The 26,927-nt window shown below is 47.2% G+C and overlaps 1 protein-coding gene across 25 annotated transcripts, besides 2 other annotated features; it reads left to right on the top strand.

Moving 5' to 3' along the window:
• Positions 1,859-2,383: an enhancer, noted in NCBI's record as "H3K27ac hESC enhancer chr6:2971582-2972106 (GRCh37/hg19 assembly coordinates)". NCBI's record gives its function as "activates a minimal SCP1, AML or CMV promoter by ChIP-STARR-seq in naive H9 embryonic stem cells {active_cell/tissue: H9 hESC(naive)}" and the evidence as "EXISTENCE:reporter gene assay evidence [ECO:0000049][PMID:30033119]".
• Positions 1,938-25,572, top strand: SERPINB6 (serpin family B member 6). 25 transcript variants are annotated; one of them, XM_011514672.2, is made up of 9 exons: positions 2,164-2,198; positions 4,818-4,952; positions 7,141-7,331; positions 14,389-14,563; positions 18,061-18,207; positions 19,022-19,139; positions 20,545-20,687; positions 24,662-24,817; positions 25,032-25,572. In XM_011514672.2, the coding sequence occupies exons 2-9, from the start codon at positions 4,920-4,922 to the stop codon at positions 25,431-25,433; spliced, it is 1,365 nt and encodes a 454-aa protein (XP_011512974.1). In that variant the 5' UTR covers positions 2,164-2,198; positions 4,818-4,919; the 3' UTR covers positions 25,434-25,572. The 25 variants fall into 25 exon arrangements, 24 of the variants coding, with proteins under 24 accessions (NP_001284629.1, XP_011512974.1, XP_047274841.1 ...); XM_047418885.1 differs by having other exon boundaries at positions 2,164-2,240; XM_047418887.1 differs by having other exon boundaries at positions 2,164-2,483.
• Positions 13,287-13,902: an enhancer, noted in NCBI's record as "H3K27ac-H3K4me1 hESC enhancer chr6:2960063-2960678 (GRCh37/hg19 assembly coordinates)". NCBI's record gives its function as "activates a minimal SCP1, AML or CMV promoter by ChIP-STARR-seq in naive H9 embryonic stem cells {active_cell/tissue: H9 hESC(naive)}" and the evidence as "EXISTENCE:reporter gene assay evidence [ECO:0000049][PMID:30033119]".

Genomic DNA, 26,927 nt, shown 5'->3' with positions numbered 1-26,927 from the left:
AGATGTTTCTGTTTTCCAAGACTGCTCTGTCTGAGATGGCAGATGGAGTTTTCATACTTACTTGGCTAACCTGTCAGTACCCTGGGGTCTAATTCCTATGCCTGGAGAGAACTGGAAGTCCTTGAACACACGGCTCAATGATGTGGGCTCTGCTCATTTATATACATTTATTTTTAAATTTAATATATATTTTAGTTTTTTTATTTCCATAGTTTTTTGGAGAACACGTGGTATTTGGTTACATGGCAAGCTTTTTTTTTTTTTTCCTGAGATGGGGTCTTGCTCTGTTGCCCAGGCTGGGGTGCAGTGGCATGATCTCAGCTCACTGCAACCAACCTCCGCCTGCTAGATTCAAGCAATTCTCCTGCCTCAGCCTCCTCAGTAGCTGGCACTACAGATGTGTGCCACCATGCCTAATTTTTTTATATTTTTAGTAGAGACGGGGGTTTCACCATGCTGGCCAGGCTGGTCTCGAACTCCTGACCTCATGATCTGCCTGCCTTGGCCTCCCAAAGTGCTGAGATTACGGGCATGAGCCACTGCGCCCTGCCAAGTAAGTTCTTTAGTGGTGATTTGTGAGATTCTGGTGCATCTATCACCTTAGCAGTATACACTGAACTCAAATTTGTAGCCTTTTATCCCTCACTCCCTTCCCACCCTTTTCCCCCAAGTCCCCAAAGTCCATTGTATCATTCTTATGCCTTTGTATCCTCATAGTTTAGGTCCTACTTATGAGTGAGAACATACAATGTTTGGTTTTCCATTCCTGAGTTACTTCACTTAGAACAACAGTCTCCAATCCCATCCAGGTTGCCAATGCCATTAATTCATTCCTTTTTATGGCTGAGTAGCATTCCACCGTATACGCATACCACAGTTTCTTTATCCACTCTTTGATTGATGGGCATTTGGGTTGGTTTCATGTTTTTGCAATTACGAATTGTGCTGCTATTAACATGCGTGTGCAAGTATCTTTTTTGTATAATGACTTATTTTCCTCTGCGTAGATACCCAGTAGTGGGATTGCTGGATCAAATGGTAGTTCTATTTTTAGTTATTTAAGGAATCGCCATACTATTTTCCACAGTGGTTGTACTATCCATCAGCAGTGTAGAGGTGTTCCCTCTTCACCAAATCCACGCCAACATCTATTATTTTTTGAGTTTTTGATTTTTTGATTAAGGCCACTCTTGCGGGAGTAAGGTGGTATCACATTGTGGTTTTGATTTGCATTTCCCTAATCATTAGTGATGTTGAGCATTTTTTCTTGTTTGTTGGCCATTTGCATATCCTCTTTTGAGAACTGTCTATTCATGCCAGCCCACTTTTTGATGGGATTTTTTTTTCTTGCTAATTTGTTTGAGTTTCTTGTAGATTCTGGATATTACTGCTTTGTCGGATGTATAGATTGTGAAGATTTTCTCCCACTCTGTAGGTTGTCTGTTTACTCTGCTTGACTATTCCTTTTGCTTTGCAAAAGCTATTTAGTCTACTTTTTTTTTTTTTTTTTTTTTTTTTTTTTTTGAGACGGACCAGACTGGAGTGCGGTGGCGCCATCTCGGCTCACTGCAGCCTCTGCCTCCCGGGTTCAAGTGATTCTCCTGCCTCAGCTTCCCCAGCAACTGAGATTACAGGCACGCGCCATTACACTCGGCTAATTTTTGTATTTTTAGTAGAGACGGGGTTTTGCCATGTTGGCCAGGCTGGTCTGGAACTCCTGACCTCCAGTGATCCGCCTGCCTCGGCCTCCCAGTGTTGGGATTACTGGCGTGAGCCCCGCGCCCGCCCCTGGCTGGCTTCTTTGCCGCAAGCTGTTTCATCAGCAAAGTCTTTGTGACCTGTATCTAGTCTGCTCATTTTTAAATGCGTGTTCTGCACTCCCCAGTGGATGGCCGTGTATCAGGAGCCGGCCCTTTTCTGGAAACAGGCCAGCATTCAGTCTCCACAGAGGCACCATAAACACGCTGGTGGGGCCCTGTACTGTGGTCAAAGTCAAGGCCTCCGGGCAGGACTCGCGGCCCCTCCGGCTGGCGGGTGGGGTTGACCCGCACGTCCCGCCCCGCCTCTCCCTTCGCGCTCCGGACGGGCGACGGTAGCTCGAGACCCGGGACTCCGCCCGCCTCCCCGCGAGTATTTGAGGTCCGGGGCGGCTCCGGCGCCTCTGCCCGCCGTTCTGCTCGCTCGCTCCCCGCTCTGGAGTACGTGTCTGGCTTGGGAGCCGCTCGGACACGCTGGCTTGGGTTTGTCGCTCCAAAGTCGGGAAAGCCGGGGGCGCGAGCGGGGAGGGGGGCAGGGTGGGGGTCGCGCGGGGCCGGGAACGCGCGTGGGTCGACGGCGCGCGGGGACGCTGGAGCCCCGAGAATGGGGCGTGGCCGCGCGGGGCTGTGACCCCAGCAGTCCCAGCGGGGCGGGGGCCCGGGCGAGCGTCCGGCTTGGGTTCCCTTCCGGAGCCTCGCAGCGGCAGAGAACGGCGACGCGGCCGGGTGAGTCGTGCGTGGCCGCGAGCCCGGCCGGTGACGCCGCGGACCCGAGGACCCCGGGCGCCCAGGCCCAGCGCCCACGGAAGAGGCGGCCGGCGCGGGATGGGGGCGGCGCAGAGCCTCCCGGGCCACAGGTGACCCCGGTCGGCCCCGCGGCCTCGGTGACCCCTCGCCCGCTCCGCGACCCGGAGGACGCGTGCTCAGTCTTGGGGCGCCGGGTGTTAGGAGCCGGGCGGGAGGCGGAGAGAGGCCGAGGGGTTCGGCGCCAAACGGTGCCATCCGGGCCCCCTGCGTGTGTTCACTGGACTGGCCGTGCTGGGCTTGGCCAATCCGCAGCACTTTCAGGTCGCCCAGACCTGTGGAGACGATCGTGTGGACCAGCCCGGATCTCCTTACCGCTCTGTGTTTGAATTAAACTCCCTACAGGCAAACTATTACAGGCTTTGATGTCTTCAAGGCAAAGAGGAAACTTTAACTACAAATTGGCATTTAAGTTATTTTCTTCCTTTTTTTTTTTTTTTTTTTTGTCCTAAAGATTGGCTTCGGAAAACTGAGGTACAGAAAATTAATAATTAATGTTCACATGCTGTCAGGAATACTCAGATGCGAGGGGGCATCTGAGTCCATTTTTTGGGCACTTTTGCTTTCTGGGATGCTCTCGTGCCTAATGACAGCCCTGCAGCTGCCTGCATCCTTTCTGGTGGGGGTCAGGCCTGATGCGATGAGATCTGATGTGTTCAGTGACCTTCTAGTTAAGGTCCTGGGCCGGCCTTGTATTGCTGGGGCTTTTATGTGTGCTGGGATTAACACCAGTGACTGCTGTTATCAGCATAGATGGCGTTTGTTCTCATTTCAGGACCGTATCTGAGTAATTGCATCCATTGTGATGTGCCACCAAAGAGAAAAGTACTTTGGTCATACTCGACTATGTAAACTAAGTATTTTAAGTTAAGGCCAATTCCAATGCATTTTATTACAATTCAGCATGAAACAGTTAACACGGACCAGTAACAGTAGAGTGAAATTAGCATGAATAGAACCAACATTCTTTTCCACATATGTAATAATAAGGGCACCCAAGCAGATGTTGTACGGTCCCAGGGAAGACCACACACCTTACATTTCCAGGCTTACTGCACTTGGGATTAAGCCAAGGCATCCAAAGAAAGAAAATTTTTTTTTTTTTTTTTTTTGCCAGGCTGGAGTGCAGTGGTGCGATTTCGGCTGACTGCAACCTCCACCTCCCGGGCTCCATACCTGGCTAATTTTTGTATTTTTAGTAGCAATGGGGTTTCACCATGCTGGCCAGGCTGGTCTCAAACTCCTGACCTCGTGATCTGCCCGCCTTGGCCTCCCAAAGTGCTGGGATTACAGATGTGAGCCACTGCGCCTAGCCTGAAAATAATGTTTAACTCCCATTTATATGTTAGGCTGCTCAGATATATTAAACACATACACACACAACACACACACACACACACATACACACTGCACAAGGAAACAGAGGGACAAAGCAGGAAGTCCAAGTTTCCATTAAACCAGTCTTTAAATGGTTAAATTTAGTAGGAAATAAAGGCATCCTTAATAGAAGTTGAGAAGCACAATTCAATAGTGACACCTAAAAAAAAATTAAGACTTGATTAGTTGAATAAAATCAATTGTGAACATTGCTCAGTTACTGGTGATGCTACAGGAAAAAAAAAGTGATGCCAGGATAGATTTGTTAGGCTTGTTTAAAAAATACATAAAATTGTTCATTAATAAGACTTTAATATCCAGTTTTTATGTCTGTGATTAAATATCATTTTTTATTTTTAAATGGTATAGTTTTTAAATTTTGAAACAATTAATTTTGCATAAATATTTGTCTATGTACATATATACATGTGTATTCACATATATATATGAAGGACACTTAGCTATCTTATTTACTGAAGCTAAAGAAGTAGGTCCTTAAAAAGCCATTGACAGGTCTTGAGTTTGCAACGTGACTGTGAAACAGGCATCCTTGTTACTCACACGTTTGCTGAAAGGATAACAGAAAGCCCTCGATAGAAAAATCTCACTAGATTGTTTATAATTTGTTGATATTTGGAGTATCTTGAGTGGTAAACTTTAAATGTGGATTTATTTTTTCTTTCCTTTTAGGATTTGGATCTCTCCAATCTTTTTTATGATTAATTGTTCAGTGTTTATGCATTATTGCGAAGTGATAATGAAAATGCTCAAACTCAGGGTCCTGCAGGCACTGTGGGGGAGGCAGTGGGGACGTGAGGGGATTACAGATCCAGTAGAAGCCCCCCGACCCCCATCTGCTTCCACCCCATCTCCTTCCAGAACACCACCGATAGCCACACCGAAGAGTTCTCCCATTTGCTGGTTCCCGGACAAAAAAGCTGCTGATCCCTTGAGCACACTGCAGTGAAGCTCCCAGCTGACATGTCCTGTCCATGTAAACAGAACTTCCTCCATGTAAACAGAACTTCCAGCATTGTTTGTGTTTTCCTCTTAACTATGTACTGACATCCAAGGGTTGTTAGGAATGTTTGGAAAGTCTAGGTACAAAAGAGAGACCTAAATAAAATAAAGCAAACACCAGCCACCATAACAAAAGGACCCCAGAGATAGGCAGCGCAGGGAACGGAAGACTCAATAAACTATAATTGTGGTATCCAAAGAATTAGTATAGAAGGCAAAATGGAATCAAATATCATGATGAAAAGTGTAAATGAGGGAATAAGGTCAGAAGAGAACATTCATTTATATGATTTCTTCTTTTTTTTTTTAACCTTTTAAACCTCTATTTAGGTTCAGGATACATACGCAGGTTTGTGACATAGGTAAACTCATGTCGCAGGTTGTTGTGCAGGTTATTTCATCCCCCAGGTACTAAGCCTAGTACCCAATAGTTATTTTTTCCTCTCCCTCCTCCCACCCTTCACCCTCCACCCTCTGATAGGACCCAGTGTTTGTTGCTCCCCTCTTTGTGTCCACGTTCTCATCATTTAGCTTCCACTCATAAGTGAGAACATGCGGTATTTGGTTTTCTGTTCCCTGCGTGTGTTTGCTAAGGATAATGGCCTCCAGCCCCATCCATGTTTCTGCAAAACACATGATCTCATTCTTTTTTATGGTTGCATAGTATTCCATGGTGTATATGTACCACAATTTCTTTATCCCATCTGCCATGCATGGGCATTTAGGTTGATTCCATGTCTTTGCTATTGTGAATAGTGCTGCGGTGAACATTCGCGTGCGTGTATCTTTATGGGAGAATGATTTCTATTCCTCTCTCCTCTGGTTGTATACTCAGTAATGGGATTGCTGGGTTGAATGGTAGTTCTGTTTTTAGCTCTGAGGAATCGCCACACTGCTTTCCCCAATGGTTGAACTGTTTTACACACCCACCAGCAGTGTGTAAGTGTTCCCTTTTCTCCACAACCTTGCCAGTATCTCTTAATTTTTGACTTTTTAATAATAGCCATTCTGACTGGCGTGAGATGGTATCTCATTGTGGTTTTGATTTGCATTTCTCTAATGATCAGTGATACTGAGCCTTTTTTCTTATGGCTGTTGGCTGCATGAATGTCTTCTTTTGAAAAGTGTCTGTTCATGTCCTTTGCCTTCTTTTTAATGGAGTTGTTTGTTTTCTTCTTGTAAATTTGTTTAAGTTCCATATAGATGCTGGATATTTGACCTTTGTCAGATGCATAGTTTGTGAATATTTTCTCCCATTCCGTAGGTTGGCTGTTTACTCTGTTGATAGTTTCTTTTGCTGTGCAGGAGTGCTTAAGTTTAATTAGATCCTATTTGTCAATTTTTGCTTTTGTTGTGATTGCATTTGGCATCTTTGTCATGAAATCTTTGCCTGTTCCTATGTCCAGAATGGTATTGCCTAGATTGTCTTCCAGGGTTTTTTATAGTTTTGGCTTTTACATCTAAGCCTTTAATCCATCTTGAGTTGATTTTTGTACATGGTGTATGTAAGGAAGGGGTCCAGTTTCAGTCTTCCAGAGCAGAACTTTCTAACTTGTGTGTGGGTGTTGTGCCCTGGGCAGGTTAACAGATCCCTCCAACTCGAGGAGTCTGGGTGGCTGGAGCTCTGCACTGGTCACCTTTGGGGTGAGTAGCCTGGCCCCAAAGTGACATACAAACATCATTTTCTGTGTGTGTCACAGCCTGGAGAAAGGTGAGAAGTCCCAGATGATATCAGTCTAAGAGTTTTGTACTTGACAGAAAAAGAGAACAAAGAGCCAGTCTGGAGGAAATCAGCAAGTGCCTTACATTTTTTTCCCAAGCTAGGCTTGGTGGCTCATGCCTATAATCCCAGCACTTTGGGAAGCCAACGTGGAAAGATAGCTTGAGGCCGGGAGTTTGGGACCAGCCTCGGCCACCGAGCGAGACCCTGTCTCTACAAAAAATAAAAATGAACTGGGCGTGGTGGTGTGCACCTATCATATCTAGTCTTTGGACTAGAAAAATCTAAAATGGTTTGGTAAGACTTTGCTGTTGCTTTAAAGCAATGGTCCCCAACCTTTTTGGCACCAGGGACCAGACTGGTTTTGTGGAAGACAGTTTTTCCACTGATAAAGTTGGGGGTATGGTTTCAAGATAAAACTGTTCCACCTCAGATCATCAGGCATTCGATTCTCATACGCAGCATGCAACCAAGATCACCACGTGCACAGTTCACCGTAGGTTCACTCTCCTACAAGACTCCAACGCTGCCACTGACCTAACAGGAGGTGGAGCTCAGGCGGTGATGTTCGCTCACCTGCTGCTCACCTCCTGCTGCGTGGCCCAGTTCCTAACAGACCACAGACGGATCTGCTGGGGACTCCTGCATATAAAGTAAGTGTGTTTGGAGGGAAAGTAACTAATTTAAAGAGATTCCCACCAGCCAATTAGAACAAGAAGAAAAAAAAACATCAGCAAATTGAAATATATTGTTTGTAAAAAGCCCAAGCTCATTAATAAGTTCAGATGAGGCAAACAAGATGAGCCTTAAAAAGGCACAAAAGAATTCAGTAATGTTTGCACTGTGTCTAGGATTGCTATGGAAAAAGTTTAGTTATTATAGCTTCCTGGGCTAACAAACACAGTAGTTGTAAAAACCAACTTAAAGGCCTAAACATTCAACAAAAAGACCAAGTTATACCATACAACACTGGTCTATGCAACTCAGATAGAGGAAAACTCCGTATTTCATTTTAAGGAAGGACATCAGGCTACAAGACACTGAAATTTGGTGTTTGGTTGAGGCCTTATAAAATCTCAGTGAAGGCAGGATTGGAGCTCAAAGCTGCCCTAACTAGTCAGATATGCTTGGCATCAAAGAGTGTGTGCCCTGTGCTGAGAAACTGCTTTGATGCACAAAGACCATGAACCAGGGAGCCCCACCCTGTTTTTACAGAAAGGGATGATCCCTTAGGATTTAACCCCATAAGATTAATTTTCCCCATAGGAAACTGTTAAAATAAGCATTAGTGTTACCTTAGGAAAGGAATAGGAAAATATAACAAAGATAAAATAATTAAATCTGTGATATTAATGAATAACTTTTGCTAGACATAAGTACAGGTATAGAAATAAGTTTTGTAATCATTGTACTGTTTGAAAGTCTTAGGAGAGGCTAGCTTACTAGATTTATATGTCTTGATTTATCAGATTTGTAGAAGTTCAAAAGTCTACTAAGGTTTGTGCAATTTGTAAGTTTGCATAAAGCATTAAAAAATTAGACATATTAAAATATGTCATCAACACTTAAATAAGAAAAAATAATTTCTTTGCCCTGTAAGCAATGTGCTGTGTTTGAGAAAAAAAATTAGTCTGACCAGCCTGCCAAACTATAAATTGGCCATGTATTATAGTAGGGAAACTTGTCCCCGTCTATGAACATTTCTCTTCGGCGTGAAAGTCGCGCATGCTCAGCAGCATGGTGACAGACGGAGGGAGAGGAAAATGCAGCTGGTAGATTATTCCTTGTGTCGAAGCATATGAAAAAAGTACTGAAAGGGTTTGACTGACCTGTAGAACATTTGGGGAGAATTTGAAAATACATAGTACATAGAAAACTAAGGAAAGGGGGGAAAGGCACTATTAATATAAGGCAAATCAGCATTACATAAAAAGGAAATGGGTTCCCATCCCACCACCTGGCTTAGCATCGAATGCTATTTAGTGATAATAAAGCAAACCTGTGGATCGGGACCGGGCCCTCGGCCTCTAGATTAGGAAGGCAATAGATAATGTCTAGAATTTGGCCGGGTGCCTGTAGTTCCAGCACTTTAGGAGGCTGACGCTAAAGGATTGCTTGAGGCCAGGAGTTCGAGGCTGCAGTGGGCCGTGATCATGCAACTGCATTCCAGCCTGGGCGACAGCGTGAGACCCCTACCCTAATAAAAATAAATACATACATAAAATAAAACATGATAAAGTTATTAGGTCAAAAATAGTAGTATACACGTTATGTAGAAATATGGTGGTAAATACCAGAAGAAAGAGCAAAGGGTTTGGAAGTGATTGCTTCTGGGGAGTTGGGAGGGCTGAGAAGGAGCTTGTTGTCTTTTATAACATCTCTTTTAACACCACCTGATTTTTAAACTGAATGTATATATAGTAATTTCATAAAAAGAAGAGTTAACCAACCCCCTCCATAAATTATATGCTATAGAAAATGTGAAAATCCAGAAAAACACAAAAAACATAAAAATTACCGTTAGAAACATTTGGTGTATAGTATTTCCCTCTATTCTGTCTGTAAATTGTGCCTACACTTACCTTTTTTCCTAATTTACATGGATAAATTTAAATTGTATGTATAGTTTTATATCTTTTTTAATGTAATCTTGTGTATTCCCATGTCATTACTGTGATTTTTATTATTATTAGCCCTATTTATATCCCATAATGTTGTACATAATGTTTTATTATGTACAAAACCTGTGAGTTTTACCTTCAGTGAAATTCCTAGAAGTGGAATTTTTAATTCAGATAGTATGAATGTTTCCATGACATTTTCTTTTCTTCCTTCACTTTATTGTATTTTACTTTTATTTTTGACATAATTCTAAATCATACTCAGGAAATACTGGTGTACCAATTTACAGTATTGTTACTGATCGTGGGTTCTTAGATTCTCATGCAGTGGAAATTGACATGAGACAGAGAAAGTGTCCCAGACAAGGCTTTATAATGGGCTTATGCTGGAGCAGGAGGGCAGCGGCACAGGGGCAGGAGTTCCCGGGCTGGCCCTCGGGACAGGTGTTCCTGGTGTTTTAGGGTGACATGGATAGTCATGAGGTGTGTCAGCAGCATTACACACGCTAGTGGCAGGCACCGGGGAACATCATGTTAGCACAGATGTGTCATGATCAGGGCATGGCAGATGAGCCCCTGAGGAGAGGGTTTTAGTAATACAACAAGGCAAGAGGTCAGGATCGTCGTTCTGATCCTGTATGCATGTGGGCATCAGGCTTAACTCCCTTGGGTAAGATTTGGGGTGGAACATGGCTTATCTTGTTTCCCTCCCTGGTTTGCATGGTCTGGTGGGCAGGTGTGATGGCGTGGGGGATGTATGGAAAATACGGGAGTGGGTACGGGCCAAGCTCTGTCCCTGCTGCCTCCGTATTACTTGCATGGCGTGAGAAGGATTGCCTGTCTTTGTCAGTATTAGCATGAATTGTTTTTGTATTTGCAAGGTTCATGGTTTGAAAAGGCATCTTTAATGTACTCTCCACCATTGCTTTTTGGGAAGGCTGTGCACCATGGTGTTAAGAGAGTGAACTACAGAGCCATGCGGTCCTGGCTTCCAGCCGTCATTCTGCCATTGTTGCCCTGGGTTCTCTGGAGACATGGTACTTAAAGAGCTAAGGCCCGATTTCTTTGCTTATAAAACGTAGGTGTTCTCAGCAGCTATCTCAGAGGGTAAGGGTCTTTCAGTGTGGACCTAGCACATAGTATATATCAAAAAAGTGATATTTTTTTCTGAAGTTGAAACTTTTAAATATAATTATTAGCTATTGTCTTTCTTTTTTGGGGGTAAATTTGTTAATGTCCTTTGCACGTGTTTCTACTGGGGTCTGTTTTTCCTATTTTTTTAGTAGCCCAGTTACTCCATTATTTTTCAGTTTTAAGAGTATTTTACTGATTCTGGCTGCTTTTTGGGTAGACCATCAAATTGTTTGCTAACTGTGCTCATTTTGTCTCCTTTCTGACAATCTCCTTTCTCATTATGTTTCATGAGTTGTATTTGCCTTTGCCAGAACTATCTGAACAAAGTTACACAAGGTTGGGACGACAGATATTTTTATCTTGTTCCTGTTTGGGGAGTTAAGGGACTAATGTTCTATCATCAGCTGTGCTGGTGGCTGCTGAAGTAGGTAATTCTTACCTTGTTAAGGAAGCATGGGAAGTACCACTTGCTGTTTGACGTAAGGGTGTTTATCAGGAGTAGGATATTCAGTTATTTAATGACTAACATAGTTTCTGCTAAGAAAATTAAATCTCTAGGACATCCTTGATTTATTGTTTCTTTGTTGCTCAGCAATTTTTATGTAAGGCATAGATAGAATTTTACCTTTCACGGCTGTCAGCAGTGTTTTCAACTAAGAAATGGAATATCATTACTGACCTCACTGTGGGCTTTGAAAATTGAGCTACATTTTTGCTCTTCCTTCTGCATTTGGTATTAACAATTATTGAATGTTAGAGATGGAAGGGAACCCAGATTATCTGGTATATGCTTTTCCTCATACAGAGAGGAAACTGGTATCAGGAGTCCAGTGATTTGCCCAGGGTACCAGAGCCAGGACTAGAGACCCTGTCTTCCTCCTGACTCGTGCCATCTCCTCCGAATATCCTGGTCTGGTTTCTCCAGTTCAGTGTTTCAGATTAAATCCCCTGACACAGTAAAACTCATGTGCACTGACTTCTCCTCCGAATATCCTGCTTTGGTTTCTCCAGTTCAGTATTTCAAATTAAATCCCCTGACACAGTGAAACTCATGTGCACCGACTTCTCCTCTGCCCCAGATGGTGTAACCTGGGCTGGCCAGACAGGCACCTCCCCAGTGGGCGTGTCTTCAGACAAAGGTGGCTTTGCTTTGTTGAAGTTACTGATATAAAGATCAGCGCCTGAAACAGATTCTCCGGGATATTACCGGAGACGGAGTGTTTTATTATTAGCCTTTCTTAGGTGGACATTTCCATTTGAATTAAAAGTCCTTTAGGCTGGGCGTGGTGCATGGCTGTAATCTCAGCACCTTGGGAGGCTGAGGCAGGAAGATCACTTGAGGCCAGGCGTTGGAGAGCAGCCTGGGCAAGGTGGCAAGAACCTTGTCTCTACAAAAAAAAAAGCGTAAGAGTCCTTCAGCATTTGAGGGGAAAACGTGTGCTGACGGTAGAATAGTCTAGGATGGGGTTGGGGGAGCATGTGGGACCTTCCCCTGGCCAGCTGACATGGTACTTAACCTCTGTCTTTTTTTTTTGGTTTATGGAGGAGCCATCTCACCTGGCAGCCTCTCCACGTGGGCTGAGCCCTCTTGGGGACAAAGACAGAAGTCCATGTCCCCAGGCCAGGGAAAACCCCACGTGTCAGGGTGTCTGCTGGCTTTGAGTCCTGAGACACGGACTTCACAGGCTGTGCTTCTTGCTTTGGGGCATCTCCTCTTTTCTTATTCTTAACCTAGAAGTTTCCCTGTTTTACCAATTGTTTCTCTTCAAGTTGATAAGCGGGCAGTTCTTGTGATCTAGAATCCAAAGAACCAAAAATAGGCCCAATTTTGCTTCAGTTCCGTGTAATGGCTACTTTTGTTTATACTGGTGTTCCCAGGGCTCTGCGGAATCCTGGATTTATTTATGTATCATCAAAGACTCCCTTATATTCAGAAGAATTTTAGTAATATGTACTTTCTATTGTCCTTTTATTAGAAATTAGTAATCTTAAAATATGTTTGGAAAGGCTTGGCAAGCCAGGAGTGCCCAGTGCCCCAAGTATTCTGTGTAATGAATAAAGAAGAGTTTGAAAACAAAATATTTAAACAAGCACAGCAAACAAGCTTTATCAGGTGTATGAGTTATTGTCTTGGTTTCCCGTGGCTGCTGTAACAAATGACCATGGATTCGTGGCTAAACTGCACATGTTTATTTTCTCAGAGTTCTGAGGTTGGAGGTTGGAAATGGGTTCCGCAGGGCCAGGCTCCTCCAGAGGATCCTCCTTGCCTTTCCAGCTACTGCAGCTGTGGTCCTTGCGTTTCTTGGCTTGAGGCCCTTCATCTTCAAGGCCAGTGGAGTGGCATTTTGCTTTATTCTTTGCATTGCTTTTTCCCGTGAGATCTCCCCCTCCCTCCCTCTTAGAAGGATACCTGTGATTACATTTAGGGTCAACTGGAACAATCCAGGATAATCTCCCATCTCAAGAGCCTGAATCTAATCGTGCTGCACAGTCCCTTTTGCCATGTAAGGGGCATTCACAGGTCCCAGGGATTATGACCCAGGTATCTTTGGAGCACTTGCTCAGCCAACCCCAGCTCCAAATGTAAAGGCATGCACAGTGGAGAGCCGCTTAATTCAGCATCTCCTCACAGGGCCTCCAGTAGGCACCTCCTTCCCTCTCCCATCTGCTCCAGGAAATGTCTGCTCCAGCTTCTCCCCTTCCTTGTTCCGTGGGTTCCCACTCACTGCTCAAGTGAGTCACTGGGACTGTCTTAGAATGCTGGCATTCTCTGACTGGGACATATTCATTTGGTAAACATCTGAGAACTGTGTCAGAGCAGGCAGGCCCCGCATCCCTGCATTCCTGCATCCCCTCCTTCCCAGCCTGACTGCCTGTGGGGCCCTTAGCTGCCCCTTGTCCTCTCACCTGATTCTGCAGATTCTTCTTCTTGAGCAGCAGCTCAGAAAGCGCATCCGCCCTGCGTTTCAAGCCCAGCTACTTCTTAGCTTCACTTCCGTCAACTTCACCTTCCCTGTAGTGCAGTGGGGCATTGATGGTAGGTCTCTCTAAGGGCTTGGTGGACTTTAACATGTGATTCTGTGATTCCGACTTGCCTGAAGATACCCCAGCTCCCCCCTCCCGACTATCCAGCTGCATTCCTGCTCTGGACCCTGCTGGGGCTGCCACACCCACTGCACGGCAGGGCTAGAGAGATGTGCAGCCTGACCCTACCCCTGAGCCTGTCTGTGAAGGTGGAGATGGGCATGCACCCACAGCCCATGAGGCAAGGTGGTGTCCTGAGTGTGCTGTGAGTTCAGGCGCAGGAAGGCCTGGCTTGTTGCAGCAGGATGTCCCCAAGCGTGGTCCAAAATTGGGGCTTTGCCACCTGCAGGGATTTCCTAGAAGGAGATCCAAGGGTCAGGAGGCATTTGAAAGGCTTTCACGCATCTTTGTATGTGGCTTGATTGATCCTTTTTTAAGGCTCTTGCTACCCAGAAATGGGATTCTCTCTCTCATTATAAAAACATTTGGCCATCTTTTCTTGTGTAACTGTCAGTGAATGTATCATTTTGAATATTTTTCAAATTAAAACAGTACATTTAAGCCCGCAAAACACACCAAAGAATACAAACATAGAAGCAAAAGCCAGTGCCCCTTCTGTAATTCCACCCCAAGGAAGAGACTCCAGGAAAGGGTGCCTCCTTCCCACTTTCTCCACGTGCGGGCAGGCGTGCAGGGAGGAGTCCTCACAAAACAGGGCGGCGTTTCACATAGAACTCTTTCATTTTCCACACTTAACATTAGAAACACACAAAATAATGTGGAGGGTCCTAAAAAGAAACAGCCAGAGTTCTGTGTGTGTTTCTGCTTGCCCACTGAACCACAGCATCGGCGGTGACTGTCGGTAAGGCGCGTGAGATGCAGTCGCGTGGAAGCTGTGCTTAAGTGATACTGATTTTAAATCTTGTTCCAGGTCTGCCATCATGGATGTTCTCGCAGAAGCAAATGGCACCTTTGCCTTAAACCTTTTGAAAACGCTGGGTAAAGACAACTCGAAGAATGTGTTTTTCTCACCCATGAGCATGTCCTGTGCCCTGGCCATGGTCTACATGGGGGCAAAGGGAAACACCGCTGCACAGATGGCCCAGGTACAGCTTCAGGGCAGCCATGGTGCTATTAACTGTCAAGTTAGCTGGTCCTCCTTATTCCAAATCCCAAAGGGATCGCTCGAGACGGATGACTGTGCAGTATTGCAGGGTGTGGGTGGCGAGTTTACAGGGAAGGGCATGCCACCCATGCTGGAGCACCCTGGGGACAACACCCTGACTGACCCCCTGGGGTGGAGAGGGGGCGCCCGATTCAGAGGAATGAATGATTTCATCATCACATGGCTTAGCTTGTTCGTGAGTTTGTAGATGGTTGTAAAGTCACAAGGTTCAGGTTGAGTCCTGTGATGATCTTTGGGTACTGTCATCTGCTTGTTGGTTGTTAGGAGTCTTTATTTTCTCATTTACGCGTAAAGCCTTCTTAGAATGGCATTTGTCAGCTAAACATGTTTTCAGTAGCGTTCTGGTTATTTGTTGTTGTGTAACCAGCTCTCCCAGCTTAGCAGCTTTCCTGGTTGTTGAATCTGGGTGGATTGAGTGGTGCTTCTGCACCACTTGGCACTGGGTGGGTCCCTTGTGGGCTGCGTCAGCGGGGGCTCAGCGGGGCGCTGGGCGTCTTCTCCGTGGCCTTCTCCGCTGGGGCCTTCCACATGCTTCCTTCAGCAGCGTTGCCTGGGCTTCCGTAGGCCTGGCGGCTGGGTTCTGAGAGGAAGTGCTCGCAGAAGACAGGCTTGAAACAAGTACCCATCACGTCCCCGCCTGTGTCCTGCTTGCCAAGGCCCCACTGCCAAAGGCAGAGGCATCTCCGCGCCTGAGAGGGGTTGAGAGAGGGTGCGCACACCACAGATGTAGCTGGTCGGGGCCACCCGTGACTGCTGTGGTCTGCCCTCTGGACCTGGTGGTTCCCTGGGAGCCTGAGATCCAGGTGTAGGCAGGGTTGGTTTCTCCTGCAGCCTTTCTCCTCGGCTTGTAGACACTGTTTTCTCCCTGTGTCCTCACATGGTCATCTCTCTGTGTGTGTCTGTGTCCTCATCTCCTCTTTTTATAAGGACATGAGTCCTATTGGATTAAAGCCCAACCTAATGGCCTTATGTTACCTTAATCACCCCTGTAAAGGCCCTCTCTGCAAATGCAGTTCCATCCTGAGACACTGGAGTTGGGACTTCAGTGTGTAAATTTGAGGGGACACATGCAGCCCATCACAGTAGGCGTGGGAGGCACGTGGCCGTCACGGAGCAGTGGCAATTCCCAAGCCCAGCCAGGCATGTATTGTTCACCTCTCAGCCCTGGGTGCAGGGTGTTCCTTGATGAGCCTCCACTGCAGCTTCCCAGAATTGTCCCTTGTCCGTTGCTGCCCTGGCTGTGCTCTGCCCTCTGTGTCCTGGTGTCGCTCTTGGCAGCTCCTTTCCTGTTCTGTAAGAAATGGCCCGTGCTTGCTGCGCTCCCAGCCTACCTCCCACCTGTAGAACGTGGGCACCCAGAGGCCTCCCTGCACTTTGAGCCGTCTCTCTCTTTTAGTCCAAGCTGTTACAAGTGCCTGAAAACCACTGTGGAATTTCTATCAACTTAAAATTCTGCTTCCCTGGACAAAAGCACCCCCACCGCCATCCTGAGTGCTCTTTGTTGGGTTGGGAGTCAGGGTGCCATGGGAGAGCCTGCCAGATGGTCTATAAGATGCTGTCTGAATCTTCTAAGGTTTAACAAAGTGGATTTGGACCTCACCCTTGAGGCCAGTGTCTGGGATTTGATCTTTGCCCTGAGGCCATCTCTTTTAGAATCTTTTGCCAGCTGGAAAGGCTGGGAAGAAGAAACATTTTTATTCTCCACCCAGTACATCCTGGATTGGAAATAGTTCCTTTAAATTCTGCTTGAAAATGGAACAGTTCCTTCATCTTTCTCTTCCCATGTGTTACCCTAGGCAGCAAAAAGAAGCCAGCTTCCTCCTGGACCCCTTAGCCAGATGCAGGAGTTCCCGGGGGAGGCACTCCATCCTCCCTGTCACTGAGGGTGACCTTCTTTCCACTTCTTCAGCTGGTACACACACAGCCCCCTTTCTCCAGCCCCCAGGAGTCATTTCGTCCTGTCCGTCCAGCCTCTGCCAGCTGCCTGGGTCCAAGGCCAAGTCCACATGTTTTAGGTTTTGGTCATGGCAGAATTCCACTTCTGGATGGCTGCATGTGTCAGCTGTTGCCACAAAACAAACCATCCCAAACTTAGTGGCTGGAAATAACAATGATTGATTATTTCTCAGATTCCGTGGCCTGAGCAGGCAGGACTGCTCCCAGGAAGCAGTGCAGGTCACTCATGCAGCTGTTTCAGTGGACACCTGGCCCGGAAGGTTCAAGAAGGCCTCTCTCACACCTGAAACCTCGATTTTTTTTTTTTTTTGAGACAGAGTTTTGCTCTTGTTGCCCAGGCTGGAGCACAATGGCGCGATGTCGGCTCACTGCAACCTCCGCCTCCCGGGTTCAAGTGATTCTCCTGCCTCAGCCTCCCGAGTATCTGGGATTACAGGCATGCACCACCACGCCAGGCTAATTTTGTATTTTTAGTAGAGATGGGGTTTCTCCACGTTGGTCAGGCTGGTCTCAAATTCCTGACCTCAGGTGATGCACTCGCCTCGGCCTCCCAAAGTGCTGGGATTGCAGGTGTGAGCCACCACGCCCGGCTAGAGGCCTCAGTTCTTCAAGCAACTCTCTCTACAGGTGATGGCACCTTCTCCAGGGCTTTCCATGTGGCCTTCGGCAGGATAGCCTGGACTTCCTTCTGTCATGGTGGCCAGGGTACAAGAGAGTGAACATGGCAGCTGTCAGGCCTTTTAAAAAGGGCCTAGGCCTGGAACAGCATCACTTCTACTGAATTCTACCTACTGTATCATTAGTCAGAGCCAGTGACACGGGCATTCCAGAGCCACGGGCAGGAGGGAGTCTGCCCCTTCTGATGTCAGGGGCGGCCTGTGTTTGTATAGACAGGAGGTCTGGTTGGCACCCTTGTTTGCCACCAGACTCCAAGTACTGAGCATCAGGAGCCTGGGTTTGTGGAGGGCGTTGCAGCTCATGCCAGCACAGACAGGGTACAGGGAGGGGCTTTCAAGACCCTTCTGGCCTTTAATCAGATGGATCTTTTTTTTTTTTTGAGACGGAGTCTCACTCTGTCGCCAGGCTAGAGTGCAGTGGCACGATCTCAGCTCACTGCAACCTCCGCCTCCCGGGTTCAAGCGATTCTCTTTCCTCAGCTTCCCGAGTAGCTGGGTTACAGGTACGCACCACCAGGCCCAGCTCATTTTTGTGTGTTTAGTAGAGATGGGGTTTTGCCATGTTGGCCAGGCTGATCTCGAACTCCTGACCTCAGGTGATCCTCCCGCCTTGGCCTCCCAAAGTGCTGGGATTATAGGCGTGAGCTGCTGCGCCCAGCCTCGGATAGATCTTTTAAGCAGTAATAAGGGTCTGGATGGTTGTTAGGCTGAGTTTGGGGTTGCCCCATTTCCTGAAGTCAGAGCATACAGGAATGATTTGTTTTCATTCTGTTTTTGATTTCAGATACTTTCTTTCAATAAAAGTGGCGGTGGTGGAGACATCCACCAGGGCTTCCAGTCTCTTCTCACCGAAGTGAACAAGACTGGCACGCAGTACTTGCTTAGGATGGCCAACAGGCTCTTTGGGGAAAAGTCTTGTGATTTCCTCTCAGTAAGTCATACTTGCTCTTATTCACTAAAGAAATAAAGGTGGCCAGGTAGTGGGGGCTGGGGCCCAGCAGGAAGCGTGTGGCTCTAAATGCCATTATGCCATACATAGGCTTTTGTAATTTCTTTTCACCTGCCAATATGTTTTAAATTCTCTGCATTTCAATAAGGTGGATCTACTTCACGCTTTTGAAGTGTCTTGTCAGCATCTTGTCAGGCAGCTCCTTGATGCATGGCTGCTCCCTTAAAGGATCCAGCAGTTGGTGAAGTTCGTTTGATATTCAGAGACTGATTCAACTTAGTGTTTTTTGCTTTTTTTTTTTTGTTTTTTTTTTTTTGAGACAGAATCTCGCTCTGTCGCCCAGGCTGGAGTGTGGTGGCCTGATCTCGGCTTACTGCAACCTCCGCCTTCTGGGTTCAAGTGATTCTCCTGCCTCAGCCTCCCAAGTAGCTGGGATTACAGGTGCATGCCACCATACATGGCTAATTTTTGTATTTTTAGTAGAGACGGGCTTTCGCCATGTTGGCCAGGCTGGTCTCGAACTCCTGAGCTCACACGATCCACCCGCCTCGGCCCCCCAAAGTGCTGGGATTACAAGTGTAAGCCACAGTACCTGACCTTGACTTAGTTTTTAAGCTAGGATTAAATATAGCTAAAGCTAGGAAGTTGTAGTTTAGGTTAAGTCCTCATATTTATTTGTAAATTATGTATGTCAATCATAAAATTATAGATTTTCTGACTTGGTGCAATGAAGAAGTAGGCCGTTGGTGTTCATCATTTTTGTAGCCAGGCAGTTATGTCACTCTGTCTATCCTAGTCTTTTAGAGATTCCTGCCAAAAATTCTACCAAGCAGAGATGGAGGAGCTTGACTTTATCAGCGCCGTAGAGAAGTCCAGAAAACACATAAACACCTGGGTAGCTGAAAAGACAGAAGGTGAAAATGTATTGTTATTCTACTTTTGTAATAACCTCTTAATCCATTTTATTGTCAGTTCCTTCACAAGACTGTCAATTGTAAACAGGAATGATTTTTTTTTCTCTGAATAACTGCAAACTTAAAAAATCTGCTTCTGAAATCAGTTGCCATTATTTGACATTTTGGAAATGCTCAATGTGTTCTGTTCTCTCTGATTTCTCCCTGTTTCCTTGGTGTACCCGTGATGCCTTTCAGTGTTTGGTATACCTCTTCTGGATCAATCCACGTTTTAATTTTGAGGAGGGGGTTAGTGTGTTAATGTTAATATAGTTTTTCCTTTCACAAGTAACATAAAAAATTCGCAGTGTGGATCTCAAGCTGCCTCCCTCTTGGGTAGCACAGTCTACAGTTGCCATGCATTGCTGTGGGACACTGGGTCACGCCCTGGTCTATCTGTGGTTCTTAATTTAAACTTTTTTTTTTTTTTTTTTTGAGACAAGGTCTCCCTCTGTCACCTAGGCTGGAATGCAGTGACACAATCACAATTCACTGCAGCCTCAATTTTCTTTTTTTTTCTTTGAGATGGAGTTTTGCTCTTATTGCCCAGGCTGGAGTGCAATGGTGCAATCTTGGCTCATTGCAACCTCTGCCTCCCAGGTTCAAGTGATTCTCCTATCTCAACCTCCCAAGTAGTTGGGATCACAGGCACGTGCCACCATGCCCTGCTAATTTTTGTATTTTTTAGTAGAGACAGGTTTTCACCATGTTGGCCAGGATGATCTCAATCTCTTGACCTCGTGATCCACCCGCCTTGGCCTCCCAAAGTGCTGGGATTACAGCATCAATTCTTGTGCTCAAGCGGTCCTCCTGCTTCAGTCTCCCAAGTAATTGGGACTACAGGTAGCACCACCATGCCCAGCTAATTTTAATAAATTTTTTTTTTAAGAGACAAGGCCTCACTATGTTGTCCAGGTTGGTCTCAAACTCCTGGCCTCAAGTGATCCTCACACCTCAGCCTCCCAAACTGCTGGAATTATAGGTGTGAGCCACTGTGTCTGGCCTAACTGTTCTTTAAGCTTGTAAAGAACATCTTCTGACTGCCCACCTTTTTGATAATCCTTTAAGTTCTTGTCTTTAAGTCATAGGCACCCATGATTGCTTCTTATCTCATGTGTTAGGAACTCATCCTGCATAATTAACGCATATTTGTTCACTTTGTGTGTTTTATTCAATTGATGATGTTTTTCGTACCAGAAGATTTTGTTGTTTTGCTTTAAGGACACGTATCCCTTTATATTTGGGGGACAGTGGAACTCTCTATCCGTGCACTTGACTGCTGAAGGAGAAGGCCCCAGCCGATTCCTGATGTGTCGGGGATCCGCAGCCGCCCCTATCTAATGCGGTCTTGAATTCTTCCGCTCAGGTAAAATTGCGGAGTTGCTCTCTCCGGGCTCAGTGGATCCATTGACAAGGCTGGTTCTGGTGAATGCTGTCTATTTCAGAGGAAACTGGGATGAACAGTTTGACAAGGAGAACACCGAGGAGAGACTGTTTAAAGTCAGCAAGGCGAGTAAGGGGCCGTGACAGGAGCAGCGCCTGTGTTCACACGAGCGTCTCCGGCTCGGGGCCTCCCGCGTCTGCAGCCGTGGGGCCTTTCTGTCCCTGCCCCTCCTGCTTGACATCCATTGGGTGGCCTCGTGTCCCTGGGCGCCTGGCATCCGCCCTGCCACCTACAGGGCAAGTCTGAAGCTGCAGCCCTCAGGCTCGATCAAGGTCTTAAAGCTCAGACTCCAGATATGGCGTGCCATCTTCTAGCGGACATTTCCTCCTTTTCTCTAGCTTCATTCCCATCAGGACCTACCCACTCCTTTCTTTCTGGCGGCGTCCCGGGAAGCCCCGCTACCGCGCCTCCTGCTGGCCTCCGTGCCACACTGCAGGAGCGGAACAACTCAGCCTGCTGAATTGAGGCTGAGCAGGGAGGACTCTCTGACAAGTGCCAGACACGTAGCTGGTGCTTAGTAAATGCTGAACCGATGAGTGATATTCAGTCCTCTCTTGATAGTAAGGATAAGTACAGATTTTTGTTTTAAAACAACCAAACCAAACATGTAGATAGACACTGAGATTAACCACCTCCAGCGTGGAAGATGTCATTTGCTGATGGCCCTTTATCTTCCTCTCACTGAATCTTCTTTATTGTCTCTTGTTTTGTTTTTCTTTAACTATAGAAATTTTTGAACATAGACAAAGTAAACAGAATAGATTAATTACAGTGTATTCTTGATCATTGACCATAGTTAGATCTTCCAGGCTAACTTGAACTTGAGCCTTCAGTTTTTCAAGAAATTTATTTTCATTGTCTGTTCTCCTCGCAATTCAGAAAGAATTATTTTCTTTGAAGCTTTATTCTGAAATGAACTGTGCTATTTTCCCCTGGCAAAATAATTTCTCTCTTTAAAATTTAATGATTAACAAGATGTACAAGGGCTTTGACTACAGATAACAGAAACCCCGGTTCACCATGGTTTATCTCCTAGGAGCTCATCTCCCCTGCTAGGAGGTCTGGAGGCAGGTGAGACCTGGGCTGGTCTGGCACTGGGGCGATGATCCCAGGGAGGCGGCTCCACCATTCTCAGCACGTCGCCTTCTTCCTCATGGTCACAAGATGGCTGAGCTGGCTTCAGCAGTCCCGGTGGCAGGGAGGGGGAGGAACAAGGGAGGGGAGGGGAGCCTAAACCTTCCCCTTAGTGGTTCTGCGTTTCAGAAAGGGAAAGCTGCTTTCTATATGGTGTAGGCCAGAACTATAGGTCTTGTGGGTTTGGGGAGATGTGGAATCCCGTCATGCTTTCTGAGTTCTGCAGTGAAGAAGGGTGAAGGAAGGGGCTGCAGTATTGAGCGTACCAGCCTGAGGCCAGAGGTGTACCTCCAAGGGCACAGATTTTGAGTTGATACAGATTCTTATTTTAATTTCATTACCTTCTATATAAACTGGAACTTGTCTATATAATTGTGTATTTAGTGAATCATTCAGTCACTAAGGTTAGATCTTTTTATATTGCAAGATTGGAGGCTTTGGACCCTGAAGGGGTGCAGGGAGGAATTACTGAAGGCAGGGGTCAGCAAACTTCAGCCTACAGCAAAGCCAGCCCACCACCTAATTTTTTTTAAAGGTTTACTGAAACACAGCCATGCTTATTTTTTTTTTTTATTTTTTATTTTTTCCAAGACAGAGTTTCTCTCTTGTTGCCCAGGCTGGAGTGCAGTGGTGCCATCTCGGAACACTGCAGCCTCCGCCTCCCGGGTTCAGGTGATTCTCCTGCCGTGGCCTCTTGAGTAGCTGGGATTACAGGTGTGTGCCACTATGCCCGGCTAATTTTTGCATTTTTAGTAGAGACGGGGTTTCACCATGTTGGTCAGGTTGGTCTCGAACTCCTGACCTCAGGTGATCCACCTGCCCGGGCCTCCCACAGTGCTGGGATTACAGGCGTGAGCCACCACGCCTGGCCCATGCTTATTTACTTACTTATTTCATCCTGTAACAACAGCTGAGTCGTTGTGACGGAGATGGTACATGTAGCCACAAACCGGAAAATAGTTCCTGTCTGGTCAGTTATGGAAGAAACATGCCTACTGCTGGCCAAGGAAATGAGTGGGGCAGCCGAGGCCCAGGAGACTGCTCTAGCCAAAGGCTAAGGGCCAGCCCAGGCGAGCCTCTACCACGTGAAAGCAGAAAGCTGCCGCCGCAGTGTATTTTATTTATTCCATTTAACACAGAAGAATGTGCTACACCAGAGACTGGGGACCATACGGCGTCTTTGACTGTGCCTATTGCAGGGTATTTACTCAACTCACAGGAGCAGCTCCGAGTCAGGAACTGAGGGGGATTGTTGGATGGGGTGTGGTTCCTGGCCTCCAGTCTTTCTCATTGGCTGGCTGGGGTTGGTGACCAGTGCAGTTTTTTCTGGTGAGATGTGTAAATGTTGCCTGGCCTTTTTAGCATCCCAGCTCATTAATTCGTTTATGCATTTATCATTTATTCAGCAGAGATTGACTGAGTGCCTTTTTTTTTTTTTTTTTGAGATGGAGTCTCGGTCTGTCTCCCAGGCTGGAGTGCAGCGGTGCAATCTTGGGTCACTGCAACCTCTGCCTCCCGGGTTCAAGTGATTCTCCTACCTCAGCCTCCCGAGTAGCTGGGATTACAGGAGCGCACCACCATGCCCAGCTAATTTTTCTATTTTTAGTAGAGGTGGGGTTTCACCATGTTGGCCAGGCTGGTCTCGATTTCCTGACCTCAGGTGATCCGTCTGCCTCAGCCTCCCAAAATGGTGGGATTACAGGCATGAGCCACCATGCCTAACCTGACTGAGTGTCTTCTATGTATCAGGCATGGTGCTAGGTATTTTTCAGCCATGCACAAAACAAGCAAAGCATGCTTGCCCTGGTGAAGCTTATGTTTTCTTGGGGGAGAGACAGCAAGCATAAATAAGAAAATAGGAGCATATTAGACAGTGGTAAATGGTACAGAGACATACCAAGGGAGGGGATAGGAATCTGTGTTTGGGGTGGGAGTGTAGGGTCAGGTAAGATCTATCAAGGACAGCTTCTCTGCCAAGGTGGTTTTTGAACAAAGACCGTAAAGAGGCAGAAGTTCACTCTCCAGGTTCTGGAGGACAAGCTTACTGCGTAGAGATGAGATGAACTGGGTTTGCTGGCAGTGCAGTGAGGAGGCCTCTGTGACTGTAGCAGATAAGCAAAGGGAGAGGGAACTGGGGACGAGCTCTTATCACAATTCCAGGCTTTTTAGGGACTTTCAGCTCCTGCTCCGAGTAAATGGGGAGCCAGGGAAGGGTGTCCAGCCAAAGAACAATGTGATCTGCCTTAGGTTCTACCGGGCCCCTCTGGCCACTGTGCTGGGAACAATCACAATCATATTATCACAATATTCCAGGGCTAGGCTGGTAGCAGCAGAGGCAGAAGGAACAGGTCAGATTTTGTTATATTCTCGAGGTAGAGCCAATATAATTTGCCAGTGAGTCAGACACAGGGTGTGAGAGAAAGACAGGAGTCAGGGGCACTCCAGGGCTTTTGACCACTGGACAGTGGCACTGCCCTCAGCTGAGATGGGCAGAGTTGCAGTAGACAGAGCCGACTTGGAGGATCTACGGAGTGCCGCATTACAGGTGGCGCTGGGAGTTTCTTTTATGTCCAAACATAGGTGCAGGTGGGCAGTAAAATGCAGGAGGCCCAAGGACAGGGCAGAGGCCCAGGCGGGAGGTAAATTTGGTGTGATATTGTGTTTAAAGCCATGAGACTGAATGCGATCAATGAGAGGAAAGACACGTTGGGTTTGGGCCCTGGGCACCCCAGTTTCTGGAGGTTGAGGTAATGAAGATGGCAGAGCAGGCGCTGCCGGGTGTTCTGGAAGCTGGGGAGAAACCGAGCTGCGTTTCTCCCTGCAGAGAGTGGCCAGCTCCGACACATTTGTCCCATGTGTCAGTGGGGTCTTGTTTCAACTTGATGTTTATCTGTTTTCTTTGTAGAATGAGGAGAAACCTGTGCAAATGATGTTTAAGCAATCTACTTTTAAGAAGACCTATATAGGAGAAATATTTACCCAAATCTTGGTGCTTCCATATGTTGGCAAGGAACTGAATATGATCATCATGCTTCCGGACGAGACCACTGACTTGAGAACGGTAACAGCTAAGCTGTGAGCGAGGCGTGCTAGCAAGGAGCCACTCGGGGGTGTCTGCTGTGGCTGCTGTCCCTACTTTGCGGTCAGCCGTTTAACACTGGAGCGCTGCTGACCATAGCCACGCTGCCACTGGTGTCTGGCATCCACAGCATAGCACAGGGCCCTGCTGGGCAGCAGCACCCTGGGTCTTAAAGTCTTCAACTGTCTCCCTCTAGGTGGAGAAAGAACTCACTTACGAGAAGTTCGTAGAATGGACGAGGCTGGACATGATGGATGAAGAGGAGGTGGAAGTGTCCCTCCCGCGGTTTAAACTAGAGGAAAGCTACGACATGGAGAGTGTCCTGCGCAACCTGGGCATGACTGATGCCTTCGAGCTGGGCAAGGCAGACTTCTCTGGAATGTCCCAGACAGACCTGTCTCTGTCCAAGGTCGTGCACAAGTCTTTTGTGGAGGTCAATGAGGAAGGCACGGAGGCTGCAGCCGCCACAGCTGCCATCATGATGATGCGGTGTGCCAGATTCGTCCCCCGCTTCTGCGCCGACCACCCCTTCCTTTTCTTCATCCAGCACAGCAAGACCAACGGGATTCTCTTCTGCGGCCGCTTTTCCTCTCCGTGAGGACAGGGCAGTCTTGGTGTGCAGCCCCTCTCCTCTCTGTCCCCTGACACTCCACAGTGTGCCTGCAACCCAAGTGGCCTTATCCGTGCAGTGGTGGCAGTTCAGAAATAAAGGGCCCATTTGTGGGATGCCGCATTCACTCCGTGTGTTTGTGTGTCTGCACGGGAGATGTTTCCTAGGATCTGAAATTGCTGCTCTGGGTCTGGGTTATGTTAGTAGGGGCGGCAATGACCACCTAGCTCACCCTTGCTTGGGGGAGGTGTTGCCCACCCCCCACAGCCATGGGGACCCCACGACTTCATTGTGGGCAGACAGCTGCCCTTGAGGTCGGTGGTGTGACTCTTCCTTGGCACAGGAAGATACATGGTGCTTCTCTGTCTCCTCTACTCAGTAGTGGAGTCTCATCCCACTTCTAGGGAGAGAATGGGGTGAAATGGGGTGCTACAGGGAGGTGCGGGAAGCTCAATTCTAAAACTACCGCAAGCTCTCCGGAAGCCTGCATGGAGGTGGGGGGAGCAGGTGAACCAGATGAGGGTGACAGCAGTCCCCTGCCCTGTGGGTGTTTCTGCTTCCCTGAGGACTGGTGGATCACATGCTTGTTCACACACACACTGCCCACTTCCAAAAATGTCAAATGATGGTAGTGTTCCCTTTATAGTAACGGAGTTTACGGCGACTTCACGAGTCAGCACCAGGTGCCTTTCTGTTTCACTGAAGTATTGCAGACAGAAAAGACAGCTAAGGTTTCTGGGGCCATTTGTGTTACTTGCTGGAAATGTGATCCCTGCACCCAGCCATCCAGGAGCAGAAGGACAGGTCAGGCTCAGATGGAGCCACACAATGTTCCAGGGAGGCAGAAAGGACTTCTTTTGCAGGCAGTGGGAACCTGGCCTCTCCTCCTTTACCTGGTGCAACTGTGCTCTCATATGCTCTCACTCTTCCTGGTTCTCTTTCCCCTTAGTGTCCAGGCTGGGGTGACAGATGGGACTCAGGAGCAGCAGGAGATGTGGCAAGGATGAGTGGGAGAGCTGGGGAAAGAAGGGCCAGATAGTGCTGGTTTTGTCCCTCATACTCCCTGCTCTGCACAGCATTCTTGTTTGTTTGTTTGTTTTTGAGATGGAGTCTCACTCTGTCACCCAGGCTGGAGTGCAGTGGCACGATCTCGGCTCACTGCAAGCTCCACCTCCCAGGTTCAAGCCATTCTCCTGCCTCAGCCTCCCGAGTAGAGTAGCTGGGACTACAGGCATGCACCACCATGCCCAGATAATTTTTGCATTTTTAGTAGAGACAAGGTTTCCCAATGTTGGCCAGGCTGGTCTCAAATTCCTGACCTCAGCTGATCCGGCCTGCCTCGGCCTCCCAAAGTGCTGGGATTACAGGTGTGAGCCACTGCGTCCGGCCTCAGCTAATCTTTTGTATTTTTAGTAGAGACGGTTTCGCTATGTTGGCCAGGCTGGTCTTGAACTCCTGACCTCGTGATCTGCCCACCTTGGC

The sequence above is a fragment of the Homo sapiens genome, chromosome 6 (assembly GCF_000001405.40).
Source record: "Homo sapiens chromosome 6, GRCh38.p14 Primary Assembly".
Taxonomy (NCBI): Eukaryota; Metazoa; Chordata; class Mammalia; order Primates; family Hominidae; genus Homo; species Homo sapiens.
This window is presented reverse-complemented; position numbering and strand designations above follow the sequence as displayed.